The sequence below is a fragment of the Homo sapiens genome, chromosome 2 (assembly GCF_000001405.40).
Source record: "Homo sapiens chromosome 2, GRCh38.p14 Primary Assembly".
Lineage (NCBI taxonomy): Eukaryota > Metazoa > Chordata > Mammalia > Primates > Hominidae > Homo > Homo sapiens.
In genome coordinates, this window is record NC_000002.12 from 164687974 (window position 1) to 164702872 (window position 14899).

General features: G+C 33.8%; 1 protein-coding gene across 10 annotated transcripts in view; it reads right to left on the reverse strand.

The window, feature by feature from the left end:
• Nucleotides 1-14899, reverse strand: part of COBLL1 (cordon-bleu WH2 repeat protein like 1) — a 184146-nt gene that overhangs the window by 30043 nt on the left and 139204 nt on the right. For 8 of the 10 annotated variants that reach the window (NM_001365671.1, NM_001278460.2, NM_001278458.2 and 5 more), the window contains 4 exons: nucleotides 12549-12783; nucleotides 11432-11526; nucleotides 6296-7863; nucleotides 4248-4424 (listed from right to left, as the gene is read on the reverse strand). In NM_001365671.1, coding sequence (NP_001352600.1) covers nucleotides 4248-4424; nucleotides 6296-7863; nucleotides 11432-11526; nucleotides 12549-12783 — 2075 coding nt within the window. The remainder of the gene's footprint in view (nucleotides 1-4247; nucleotides 4425-6295; nucleotides 7864-11431; nucleotides 11527-12548; nucleotides 12784-14899) is intronic. The other 2 variants (NM_001365670.2, NM_014900.5) reach the window with 1 other exon arrangement.

The following is a 14899-nucleotide window of genomic DNA, read 5'->3' on the forward strand; positions in this document are numbered from 1 at the left end:
TCCACTTAAATGTCCACAAATAATGAACAAATAAGCTACGTCACATTCATAAAGTCAAATACTATGTAATCTTTAAAAGAATAGTATATGAATATATATATAAACAATTTTAAAAAGCTTCAAAGAGACATTTGTTTATGACTGGATTTGCAGAGGATTCCATTTTGTAAATTAAATACATTTACATACTACAGAAGTGGGCTAGAAGCTTACAGAGCAACCTATCAAGAATGGTTATTTTTGAAGAGAAATGACATCTGCTTTATTATTTAAAAACTTGTTTACTAAACTTTTAAACACAAGAAGCCATCAATAGAATACTAGTTTACGCATTCTGAGGGCAGAGATCTTACTGATTTTAATGCCAGTTTATAACTACTTTATATTTATTTTAGTGCCTGGGACAGTGTAGTGCTCAATAAATATTTCTTAAATGGAATATGGTAACTTTTTACAAACATTCATAAACAAGAAGGTATCACTTGAATGTTTTTGAATGAGGAACATATTACACTTATAATACAGATACTTAAAAAAACAGCATTTAAGAATTTACTGATGTGAATATCTACTAGTTGATTGTCTACTCTTGAAGTTTAAAGCATTTTTAGGAATTTCACATAGCTTTCTTTTTTCCATAAGGAATGCAACTATAACAATTTCTATCATTTACATTTACTTTAAAAATGTAGAAATCGCTGCCAACCTGAAACTCTTTGGTTGTTCAAATTTAAACTAAGGAAATATGAATTAAAAAAACTAATTAAATAAACAATACAAGCCAGCAAGATTCTGTGTGACTTACCCAGTTTTTTCCTTCCCTCCACCTTCTGTTGAACCAAAGATAAATCTTACATTTGAAAAACACTTAATACATAGTGATAAATATCAATATCATTCACTATTTTCAGACCTTACTTGTAATAGGGTAATAACTTGATTTTTAGTAAATCAGAGACCATCAAGTACTGAAAGCCAAAGTTGTTCTTATGTCAACACAGGCCAAGGGTAATGAATTAATCTGTCTTACTCTTTGTAAATAATTTGCTGATTAATAAACCTTAACATCACACAATTTATAACATACTGAGCTTGATTTATTAATGCTTTACTTGAAGAAAAGACTAATCTCTGTGACTACATGTGGGTTGAGTAGGGGTAAGGTATGCAAAAAATCCCTTCTGAAACATGAAAAAAAACATGGCATATTTATGACTACATTTACACTAGAGCAATCAACTAGATAATTGTTCTATTGTGAACCAACCATTATAATGAAGGTTAATTGCCTGCGTATGAACCAGAGCCATAAGACAAGTGGGTACCTGGAGTTAAATTGAACATTTGGGTGCCAAGATATAGAGAAACACAGAGCCAACTTTCTGATGAACAATCTAAACCTACTATCAAAATCACTGGAGATTTTATTTGGCAATATAATTGTTGTTCTATAAAACAAATGTTAGAATTTAAAAGAAACTAGAAGAAATTTTCAGTACAGAACAGAAACATAAGACTTAAGCAAAGATCACAAGAAATTAAGAGCCTGCCTGTGTCCATTTTTACTTCCTTTTGCAATTTTTTGAAATAGAATATATGTATAGAAAAATTCACTAAATGTAAATACGCAGCCCAGTGAAAAACAAATGTGCATACAATGCACCACTCATGTCAAGAGAAAAAATACCTCCACGTTCCCTATTAATCTTCTTTTAAAATTGTGGTATTTTCTTCAGCATAGATTTTAGCCTTATTTTGAATATTTTTATTGCATTACAATAAATAACATTTATCTGGATTACTTAGCTTTTTGATTCCCCCTTAAATTGTGTGCATGGCCTACATCAATAAGCCCTCACCAACCCCTCCTTTTTTCCCTCTGGAAGTAAGCGCTATCATAAGTTTTGTAATTACTTCCTTGCTTTTAAAAATAACTGCCACTTATGCATGCATCACTAAATAATGTAAATTAGTTTTGTATGCTGTCAAACTTTATGCATATATATCTGTGTATTTTTGTGCACATTGTTGCATTTTACTATATTTTGTCCATTTGATGGCTATATGACAGTCCATTCTTTGAATATACTGCTATTAATTCTACTAATTGGATATTAGGGTTATATTTATTTGGAGTTTTTACAAATAATATTCCCTGAACATTCTTATGTGTGAGAGTCCTGGTACACAATAACAACATTTTTAGGGTACGTAACTAGAAGTGAAAAATGCTCGTCATGAAGTTTGTATATTGTGAACTTTACTAGATACTATGTCCATTTTTAGTGAAATGAGATGGATTATAGATGAGATTTTTATTTTAAAAAAATTAGAATCTGGCACTATGCTCAGAGCTATCAATAAGGTTCCACTGAAAGAGAAAATTTTAGATTCAATAGAACCTAAAGTAATTAGTTTTAAACAGGAAACAATTATAGGATAATCATTTATTGCCCGCTTTTTATGTTGATTCATATTCAGCTCATTCTAGAAGCAATGAGAGTTTTCTGTGTGAAAGGACTGCCAAGTCAGGGTCCATAACACACCAAGTATATAGCTGCTGGCCTGTATAATTCTGTTGGCCTAAAAGGCATTTCCAACTTAATGCAGTTTTCTGCAATTAGTTCATTGAAACTGATGAATATCTTCACTGACCTAGTATAAAGGCATCGCAATCAGTTTCTGTGTAGTAACTTGGTTCTCCCATGGGCCTGATATACCACTGTATCTCAGGACCAGGCTGTGAATGCACAGAAGACAGAGGCTTCATTTTATTCATTTTCATGTTCTCAGTATCTAGTACAATATTTGTTACTTATGTGCTTTAAAAGTGCTTGCGAAATTTATTGAACTGAGAAACCAGTAGTGCTTGGTTTGAAACTCATCCTTAATTTACAAGATCAGAAAAAGAAAACTTTTCGTGAGGTTGTGTAATTTATTAACAAGGGCATTTATCCTCCTCTAAAAATATAAATTTGTCATGACCGATGAAAAACCAATTTCAATATTAAAAGCTATACCAAATTGTTATGCTGCCTGGCACCTAAAATCAGACTCTACAAATAATTTACAAAATTCAAATCTAATCCACTGTAGTATTCCCTCCTGTTTCCTCCACTCCTGACAGCACCCAGTATTCTGCCTTGTCTCCATGTTTGCCCAGACAGGGTGCCAAGTCCTCTGGGAGGAATGGCTGTCACTCATACCTCCTCACATACACACCAAGGAAGTTGGCTTATGCAGTCAAGTTTGGCCAATGTTGATATGGTTGAAAGGCCCGGAAAGCCTTTCCCCATTTCTTTTCCTATCTTTGTAGCATTCCTGTTCCTTTGCAGGTTTAATTTCTGTTGAGCTCAATGTTTTGCTCAACAAGTCTCTTACTATTCTCTAAATGGCTTTTAAAATGATCACAGAAGGAATTCACAAAATGAAATGCCTCGGGAGTTAATGGAATAATAAGTACTTTCCTTGTCTTAGATGCGGAGGTGCTTCCAACCAGGAGAATTAAGGGGAGAAGACAAGAGAGGTTTAGGGAGAGGACTCTCTCTGGGGAGTCTAAGTGCTGATGCCTTGTTCAAAGCTTCACCACATCTTCTTCTCAGTGGATGAAGGGAACCCAAGGAGGAAATTCACCTGAAAAGAATTCCCTGTGACACTTGGGTGTTTTTCCTGAGAAAAAGCAGACTTCCTCTTTTTTTCTTCTTCTACCCCACAGTAAGGAGGAGCTAGACAACTTTGGCAGGACATTACTAAGATTTGAATTTCTGTATTATCTATCATCTACATTCTCTAGATATTCTGCACTTTTTTTTGGTTTAACCTATAAAACTCTTCCCTAAGCCTCATATATGTTAGTAACTAATCATGGCAAGAGCTATGACTACAAACTTGTAGGTTCCTATCACTAATGTACCTTTTTTGGAACAGGAAGGTGTTTTCCAAAGAGTCTTTCTCGAGGTGCTAACATAATCTCTTAAAATCAGAGTCCAGGGTATTCTCTATATAGTTATGTAAGAATGAACAAAATTCATGTTCTGCAACTGGCCCATGTTGTGGAAAATAGACCTGACATATTTTTCAAGTACGTGTAAGACTCTGGAACTCTTTCAGCTTATACTTCAAAGACACAGAAGAGTAACTTTGGGAACCCTATTTAGATTTACATGCTAGAAAAATTTTTCCCTAAGTATTAGTTTGACAATGGTGACAATAAACCCACTGTCACCCATCTGATAAAGAAGACTTACCCTTTTCAATTTGGCAGCAGCCTCTCCCGAACGGATTGCAGTCAGCAAACTCTGTCGCATCTGTTCTGGGTCAGAGCTTTGGAATGTTAAAGAACTTTGTCTCATAACAGTGAATGATGGGCCATCAGTTGGAGTTGGTATTTGGGAATTCTGTTCATTATGTGCAGAGTTATTTTCCTACAAAAATAAATGTGAAATATTTATATGAATGCCAAGAAAAGAATGGGCCATTTTTTGCAAAACATTTTCATCATCAATAGTTCTTTAACAATCACCATTTGCCACACTGGTGTTTCAGACACAGCTCTGTTTCCTCACCCACTGAATTATCTCTGCTGCCAGAGCTAAGCTGGAAGATGAGGGCATTATTCTCTCTTGAACTCAGGAAGCCAAAGAAGAAAAGTGGTACCACTCTTTGCTTCATAAATACAGTGGTAATTTTATTGTTCTTGAGTTAAATACTGCTGACTTCACCAATACACAGAACTGGTTAGAAAAGCCAAATTAAGATTTTAAAAAATACTGCAAACTAAAAAATGACCCATTTTCATGGTTTCAACATACCAGGCTATGAAATTACTATTTTTAAATGAGCAAAACAGTCAAATAGACAATGTCATATTTGTTGAATCTAATATATCTTCTAATAAAGGAATACTAATTACTATGCTACACTTAGTAGCTTATTTTGTGTTTCTGGAAGTCACATGGACTAAGTGCTAATCATGTTTTATTTTTTGCCATGAGAATCAATATAAAAAATTAGGAACTTCCAAACTGAAGACTAAAAAATTTAATTACGCTTCTCAGGAAGGAATATTTAGTAACTGATGTAAGTGGCATATGTTATCAAGTAATCTTAAATGTCTTTTTCAAACTGCCAAATACGTATCTTTACCAAAAAATGAGCCAAACAGGGCTCAGGCAATGACTTAAAAGCTTTATTATCTAAACCAAGCTTCCATTGTTTAGGAATGGTATTCTATTCCAAGAAAAATCACAGGCTTTGTGCCCAAGTAAAGAATTAATCTTTGTATCATACTTCTATTCCTGATGCTATATCAAAGTAATAAACATAAATGTAAAATACATGAAAAATATTAAGATAAATGTTGTTATACAATTATGGAAAAATATTTACTTGGCAATATGGTTAACATTCTTTTGCTCTAGGAATGTTTGAAAAAGTAATATTAAATACTTCTGGAACTGTCACACAAATATGAATGTATTCTTTAAACACTATCAGAGTAAGAGTACACAAAGTATTTCTTTAAAATTGCATGAGGATTATCATAAATCATGCTGTGAATTTCATCTTCTCCTTTGACTCTATTATCTGAAGCTAGCAAAATACAACATTTAGTTGACCAAACACTAAGTCAACAACATTCCTTTATGGTAAATATTTAAGGTTAGATAGTGGTTAGATAACAGTTTGGTCAACATACATATTATAGTTGAAAGTTGACACTGAATTAACAAAATGGGGAATTAAGAAAATTACATTTTAAAACTCTGCTTTCAATGTATTTATATGTGAAAATGTACAATATATGCAAGCTGAAGTTGAGTGTATATGATGGAAATCACATAGCTAAGAGATGCTCAGTTATTTTGTCTAGCCTCTCATACTATTATTTTTCCATTTCATTAAGACTATTTCCTTTACTATTACATAGTAATGTAAAATTGGAGAATAAACCAGAAGATTTAGACAAGTTAAAAACAAATTAAGATAACACAGGAAAATAGAACCATTAACTAGTAAATATATCATACAAATGAGCAAAGAAACTTTAAAACATTTGCTAATGACACAATTATATAATGATGACCTTACAGTAATACCTAAACAAGTTATATAAGTTATAATTGTGAGCAAATAATCAGATTTTATGTATCACCACTCTCTTCACTACAATAGCTTAATTTCAGATGAATATGAGTTCAGAGTTAAGTAGCACACAAACATCAACATGCTTGTTAACCCCCATTAAACCATGTCATTAAATTTGAATACTTATTTTTAAAAAGGCTACAGTTACCTTATCAGACACACCAAGCTGTGGGATGTCCACAAATTTATTTACAGAATGAGTCTTCCCTTCCTCTGTGTTGGCTGGAGGTTGGACCAATGCACTGGCACTAGGTGACTCGGTGCGCTCTTTACTGAAAGACTGTGACCTTTTCACTACAGCAAGAGCAAACGGTGAAGGACCAGAACTTGAGTATGGTCGTGGGGCACCAAAAGTTTTCAAAGTCTTCAGATTTTGTGTGGATACCTGACTAGCAGGAATTGTCACAGGTTTTGGAGCTATGGGAGGAGGGGAGGCTTCAGCAGGAGCCTGACCGATGACATCATCATCAGTTTTTTCAACAAGGGGTTGTGGAACAGAGTGAGGCATTTTACTTAAGGGAGAAAGAGTCTGCTCCGGAGAAGGCAGCATATCCCTTTCTGCCTCTTTATTTGTCAGTTCTTTTGGAGCAGGATTAGGGGCAGCATGGACACTCTTGGCAGCTGCAGATGTCACATAGTGACCCGATACTCTCTTCTGCATCTGCAAAAAAAAAGAGCTGGGTTTGGCCTGGGCATTTGAAGCCCGAGATTTAAATTTTGATTCCAAAATATTGTTTATTTCTTCCAAATTTGGTGCAAAAGGAGCTGTGCCAGTGTCTCTTGTCATTTTGGGAGCAGGTTTCAGAGGACTAACCATGGCATCATCAGGTGAGCTCACAGAACTGGGCACTTGATGCTCTGTTCTCAGGTTAGGCTTCGGTTTAAGGTTTGGCAGTGGCTCTTCTGGGCTTTCAGAAATAGCAGAATCTTCTGTTTGGATGGCAGTTTCTTTCACATTCTCATGAGTGTGCTTTTTCCCTAAAGCATGCATGTCCTGATCATCTTTATACTCTATGGTTTCTGATTGCCAGTCTTTCGATATTTCCAAGGATTTGGGAGGCACTATTTTATAAGTAGTCATGCCAATTTTGGGTATATACTCTCGTGTAATTTCATTTGAAGGTTTTGGCTTGGGATTGTAGTCCTGTCTATAAAGTGGGTAATTCTTTAGGTAAGAAGCAGTGGAATTTTTGTCAATCCTATCTACAGGAGGCAAAAGATCATCATTACCATGTGCACAAATTGGATCTTTTACGGTAAGCGGATCTTCTGAATGTATAATTAGGGTGCCTTGACTCCTGAATTCCCTTGAGGTATTTACAGAATCTTGTGAACTTAAGCATGAGTGTTGAGTTGATATGTTGTTATTTGAAGTTTGCACACATTCTTCAACTTTGGAGTCAGATAAATTATGATCTTGGTGTTTCCCATCAAAACTGTTACAAGAAGGGGTTGTCTGAATTGCTGCATCTTTTGTCTTTTCTGCACTGGGTTGATTCAGTTTTTGATCTGGTACTGATGAAGCTGCTAGATGGTTTTCCTTGTAACTTATAGCAGTATCAGTTTCATGTGCCTCAGAGTTTGATGGTCTCTCAACTTCCATATCAATGTTGTTATTTTTGGCAACACCTTCTACATTGATTTCTGTTTTCTTCACTCCATTTTTCATATTGTCTTCTGTGTTCTCTGGATAGACAATTATTTCATTTTGAACTACTGAGAGAAAAAAATCATCAAGTTAAATATATGAAAGAAGTAGAAAACCTCAAGTTTTTAATGCCTACTTTCTCCAACCTGAAATAGTTTGGTTTGAATTCTACAGATAATTTTCAACTCACTGACTATATAAAGGTAGGTAGTAGCATACAGAGAAAACAGTACGTGCTTTGGATTCATACAGACTGAAGTTTGGAATCCCTGGCTTAACTAGTGTGGCCACAACATGTTAATTAACCCCTTTGAGCCTCAGTTTGCTCAGACATAAAAAGGTGAAAATATTTATATTATATGTGTATCATTTAGATAGCATGCTCATTAGTATATTGACCAGAATAAACACTCCATAGAAGGTAAATAAAGTTTTTACTTCTTAGAAGATGTCATTCAGTCATTGTTCATGACAAAAAATAGAAATTGACAAATTCAAAAACTGTATTTTTCCTCTATTTTGACTGTCTTTTCTATAGCCCCTAGCATATTTATATTTTCATACCTAACATTAAAAGGAAAAGAATCCCAGCAAATGCAGTTTTAATGAAGGCCTTAACAGAAAACATTAAGATTTATAGTAAAAACAGAATCTCAGTTGATTGTCTTGTTAACTAGGTATCTTTGCTGAAGGCTGTTAGAGGACTTTATTTTTAGTTATAACATGGGTGATTTCAATGACATGAAATCAGTCATAATGGTTTTGATTTTTCTCTGTTGGAAATAGGCATCCTTATTCTACAGTCAGAGTCAAAATCAAAGTAGAGAAAATAACCTTCCTCTCCCTTGCACTACTTTTCCTCTTGATTCTAATTCAGACCTCCTGAAAACAAAACTCATTTGCCAGTGTCTAGGTTAACAGAGCAACAGCTTCCAGTCAACAACATGATGGCAAAGCACTGGCAGGAGGCATGTGGAAGGAAACAGGGTTTGGAGTCTGCACCATGTGCCCAGTACCGAATTAAGTCATTCCTCTGCTCCTCTATTCAAATGCCCTGAAGAATCATGCTTCCTGCACCATCACTGTGCTTATCTTCAAAACCCTAGTGGCCTTTTCACATATGGCAATAGTTTGCACAGCACAAGTTAAATGTGAGCCTTGGGGGTCAAACTGTGAAATTATGTCAAGTTATTTCTCTATAGTTTTATCATTACCCACTATTACCTATAAGAATGAGATGAAGTACACTGCCTAAAATGTAATAAGCTATATTATATAGTTTCTCTCTTAAAAAAAGAAAAAGAAAAAAGATATGCATGCAGAAAAATATCATGTTAGGTAAATTTGTATACAATTTAAAAACATATCTTCACATTTTTAAACTCTGCCTGATTGCACAGTTATTTGGTTGTGGCAGTTAATATTCTATATTGTGTTGCAAGATTCCTATATTAAACATGTAATTTTAAAATGGAACTCATTTTTATTCTTCCCAGATAAAATGCAACTGAGTATCAGAATACGTACCATCTACTTAGGTGAATTCTTTTCTCAATGACCAATTATTATTAACTATTTTGATTTACAAAATTAAAGACCCATGTTCTTAGGAACCATAGAAGAGGCACATTTCTGCCTCTGCTCTCAATTTACTTGGTTCATAAGTATTTTTCAATGTTCATATGAAAAACACTATTTTGAACAGTTATAAGCATGAAAGAATTTAAGAAACAATCTCTGGCAGCAGGAAATGAGTCTAAATGTATTTCCTTCTTTCTTTCTTATTTCTAATTTTCCACTGAGTATATGTATTTCCCAGAAATATTTTCCAAAAGAAAGAAAGTCAATGTAAACATATATTTTAAATTGAATCCCCGTTTAAAAACCCTAATTTATTGGTTTTAGAATTATAAGTCTCTCTTTTTCATATTTTTGGTAGGTTACACCTACTTTACCATTGTCTAACTCTGAATTTCTTCTCAACATTTCATGATCATTTCCAGTGATTGGCAGTCCTGGAAACCCAGAATCCATCCTCATATACAACTGACAATGATGTTAACCAAGTGTTTATAAATGGCTAGATCATTTTCCAAGAATGGCCAGTAGAGGGAGAAGGTATCTTTTATACTATAGTGACCCTCTACTCAAAAGTGACACTGACATTGACAAACTTACAAGAAGGTGATTTAGATAAGGGTAGGTAAAAAGGAAAACAGAATAAAACTACTTTAAGAATAATAGACATTATTTACTTTAAAAAACAACTAGAGTTGACAAAAGTCGTAGCAAAACAAACCATATGCAAATCAAAGTACTACGTAAATGTACTTGTGACTCTGGCACTAACTTGACAACAAAAGTCTTAACAAAAATGATACAACTTGACTATTGTTTTAAAGAGAAAGAAGCAGCTTTTAAATCATAATTTCTCAATAGGAATGCTATTGCCATCACAGTACATGCTGTGAAAAACTGACTCAAGTGGAAAAGAATGAAAAAATTATTTGCTTTTAGACCTTCTCAGTATGATATCTCACAATGGTATTGAATGTGGGAGAAAATGAATCAGTAGCACACATAATCAAGTTAATGAACACATACCACACACATACAATTATATATATATATAATTATATATATAAGTATGACATTGCGATTATCTATGTCTTATTCAAATATGAATACTACATCCTAAGTTTTCTAAATATCTTAACCTAGTTTTCTAGATTAACATAATAGATTGGACTATGAGAATTCATAAGCCACTTCCTTCTTAACCCCTTAAAACACCATTGAGTATTTTTTGAATTTTCTATTTGCATAGGATTGTTTTTCTGAAATTCAATACTAAGTACATATTTTATGAGTATCTCAGGATTCTGTTAGGTGCCATGAGTAGTGCAAAGTATCACATGTAATTTATCTGATCCAAGACTGCCTAATTCAGTTGAGGAATCATAAATATAGAACCGCAAAGCTTCTAATAATCAAGTAAAAACATGAAATGATATGATTTGGATAAAAATTGAATGGGTAAAATAGATGAAAAATTGTCTTTCAGACAAAGACAACATGAATATATGCCTTATGATATAGAAATAAGCAAATGACATCATGAGAAAAAATAAGTTGTGCTAATATGAGGATGGGAACTGGGAAACAGTGGTAAATAAGGTTATATTATTAGATGATTTGGGCCTTGAAAAATCAGGCAGAAAAGTTTCATCCAAGGAAGTTAGATGGAAAAAAAGAGAAACAGATCGCAAATAGATACACAGAAGAAACATTTTTAAGATCCAAAGTCTAAATTAGATAATTTCTATGTTTTAACAACAAAAGTAGTACACATGGTAGTTAAGGGCACACTCTAGAGCAATATTGCCCCAGTTTAAATCCTAGGTTCACCACTTACCGTAGTAGTTGTGAGACCTCAGGTGAGTTATTTAATATCTCTGTGGCACAATCATCTGTAAAATGGAACTAAAAATAATAGTACCCATAATATCCATAAATGAGGTAGGTATTAAGTGAGTTACAGGAGATTAAATGAGTTAATACATATAAAGTGTTAAGAACTGTCCTTGGCACATAATAAAAGTAAGAAAGTGTTGGCTATTAATTTATATAACTCACCATTCTCTTGGTTTGGGCCCAACGACTTCAAGTTTCTTATACTGTCAACTACCTTCTTTCCATTGCTTGTATCATATACTACACTGTGTGGTTCTCTGGAAGATACGACATTGTATGTTATATGTTGATACTATTGAAACACACACATACACACACACACAGACACACACACACACAATGAGAAACAGGCAATAATTTCCAAAGACAGATGGACTAAAATAATCATTTATTTCTGCCAAACATCGGAAATTTAATAGCAGAGAAAAAATATAACTGAGAAGAAATGCTGCTATGAAACATTAGCTTTCATGTGGTGGTCCCATTAAAAAGAAAGAAGCTTGGTAAAATAGACACTTTTCCAAAATAGTGGCTTTATTTTGCTATTATCATTTATTTGCCTTTTAAAGAAAAAGGAAATTAAATGAAACATTTTAGTTTTTCATCTGGCAAGGTCAACTATATAAATAAGAATGTAGATTGACCTCACTGATCTTTTTTTCCCTTTGGTGGTAGAATAGTTTAATAAGGAGACAATCTCATGCAAATTATAATAAACGTCTGACATATATGGTTTATTTTGCTTGGTTGATTTCATCTTTATCCATGTTGTTGCATTTCAAACCTAAGTGGACTAGACTATAGCTGTCTGTTTCTAGAATAAAGCAGAAAGTACATTCTCTGTTTCATAAAGTTGACTGCAAAGATAATACTCGTGATTTAACATCATATTCTAATATGCATAATTGTTTTCATATACCAGTGAAAATCCACCAGGAATACTTGGTAAAAATTGAAAATTAAATATTACATATAGGTCACATAGGTTAACAGGCAAAACACCCACAAAAAGAAAAATTTTCATTTTTGAATCACACAAACTATTTCTCATGGTTTATCTGACACAGGGATATTAGAACTGTCACATTTGATTTTCTTTGAATGTAATTACATGCAAATAAGTACTTCATTAATAAACATTCTTATATAATGGTAAAAAGGATAAAGTCAAAACCAAAGGGCTGACTATATTTATGTTTAAAATATCAGATCTATATTTCAGAAGACTAGTATTAATTAAACTAACGGCCACCAACACTCCAGCACAGAGACTACTTACTGTCCATCTGTGCTTTTAGTTTCTTGTTTTTCTTCCATGGAGTTTTGTGAGAACTCTCCACTACCATTGCCAAGGGCTGAGTCAGGATCATTTTTCAGTGTATTTATTATATCAGTAGATACAAAAGGAATATCTTGTGACTTCGGAGAAATATTTTCAGCTTCAACTTTAGGCACTTCACTCAGTTCTTCCTTTTCATCTATCTCTTCAAGGCTATAATCAGAGCTTATTCCAGCTACAAAGAAATGCAGATATAATCCTAAATATTAATTTGCCTCATTCATCACATGCAATTCTGGCAAGGAAGGAATTTTGAAAAATAATAATTAGCTGGACTCTTTTAAATTCTGCCTCAAAAATAATAGTGAAGTTCTTTCTCCTGGTGAGCAGTCACGTTAACATAAAACCAGATTATCTCAGACTCATAATTCCCAAAACAATTTGCTATCACTCTAGGTTTTATTCATGGTAGAGACAAGAGGTTATTTAATCTCATAAACTTTAAGTTAAATATTTCATTTAAGAAATGTCTTACAATTGAATGGTTTTTACACTCATCCAGCAACTCAATAGTGCAAATTAAAGGCAAATTAATAATTTTAAAAGTGAAAATGAAAAGCACATGAGATTTTTGTATTGTCTACAAGGGCACTCATAAAATTTGACTCAATAGTTATTAGTACCAACTATACTTGAGAATTACCTGAGCCCCCTTTAAAAATATTGAGGCTCACACCCTACTCCACAAAATCAGAATCTCTGAAGGGTGGGGCAAGGGATTTTTAAGACTACTTAGATGATTCTACTATGCAACCTCAGTTAAAAGCCACTGACCTAGATGCTTAATTTGTGAAAATACAAATAGAGCAAGTATTGGACAATGAAAATTAAGTTTTATTCCTAACCAGTTTGATTCTCAGAGGCAACTTGCTTTAACAGTTTTTCCTGTATGTCCTGAGAAAGTGTAATATACATACATAGGCTGATAACCATACTCACGTTTCCTTTTGTTAGTTTATTTAATATAAATGGAAGCATACTGTAGCCACCTAGCTTTTTTTCCACTTACAATATCTTAAATATCATCCATATTAATATATATGTTTACACATAAATATTTTCAATAGCTGTGGTTAACATTTCACTGTATAAAAAAAATGTATTTTATCACCAACAACCAGTAGCCAGCAGGGTAAAAGAGAAGGAGGCATCCTGAGCAGTTAATGTTCATGCTTATTGTCAAGATTAGCCATGGAAGTAAATGTAAGCCAGAGTGAGGTTCTGGATTTTTGCTAAATATAATTAAACATTTCCATATACACCACAGTATCTGAATGAAATTTAATTTTATCCCAAGGCTGGGGATGTGGTGGGAGGGGGGGGCGGGGTGGGGAGGTGGTGTAGCATCCAATTATAGTAATCAGCACATTCAGAAAATTTAATTTAAATTTTTAACATAATTCAATATTTAAAGTACTTAAAATATATTTTTAAAATTTTATCTCTAAGTATACAGACAGAAAAGTGTGCTATTTGTGCTCTTTGAGAAATAAACATGAGAAATTTTAATGGTATTTTTATCATTAATAAAAATAGATTACTCAATAAAAAATATTTTAAAATTTAGGTTTAAGTGAATATTCAAATGTACATATTTTGGCAAATGATGCTTTATTATGATGTGAAATAGAAATAATGTGTCTACGATAGCATATTGTATCTATGTGTTAAGAACGTATTTATATAATTTGAAAACTCTAGGCTGGGCGTGGTGGCTCACGCCTGTAATCCCAGCACTTTGGGAGGCTGAGGAGGGCGGATCACAAGGTCAGGAGATCGAGACCATCCTGGCCAACATAGTGAAACCCCGTCTCTACTAAAAATACAAAAAAATTAGCCAGGTGTGGTGGCGGGCGCCTGTAGTCCCAGCTACTCAGCAAGCTGAGGCGGGAGAATGGCGTGAACCCAGGAGGTGGAGCTTGCAGTGAGCCGAGATCACGCCACTGCACTCCAGCCTGGGCAACAGTGAGACTCCTCAAAAAAAAAAAAAAAAAAATAATAATAATAATAATTTGAAAACTCTGTATTGAAAAAAAATGAAAGGCCATGATGGTTTAGATACAAATGTGTTTTTTAATTTTTATTATAAGGTCTTGCTTTGTCACCCAGGCTGGAGTTCAGTGGCATGATCATAGCTCACTGCTGTCTCAAAATTCAGGGCTCAAGCAATCTTCCACCTCAGCCTCATGAGTAGCTGGTATTTTAAGTGTGAGCCACCATGCCCAGCCTCAATTGTGTTTTCAAAGTGACCCCTCAGTATATATAAGCCAAATAGAAGAGAAGCTAAAATT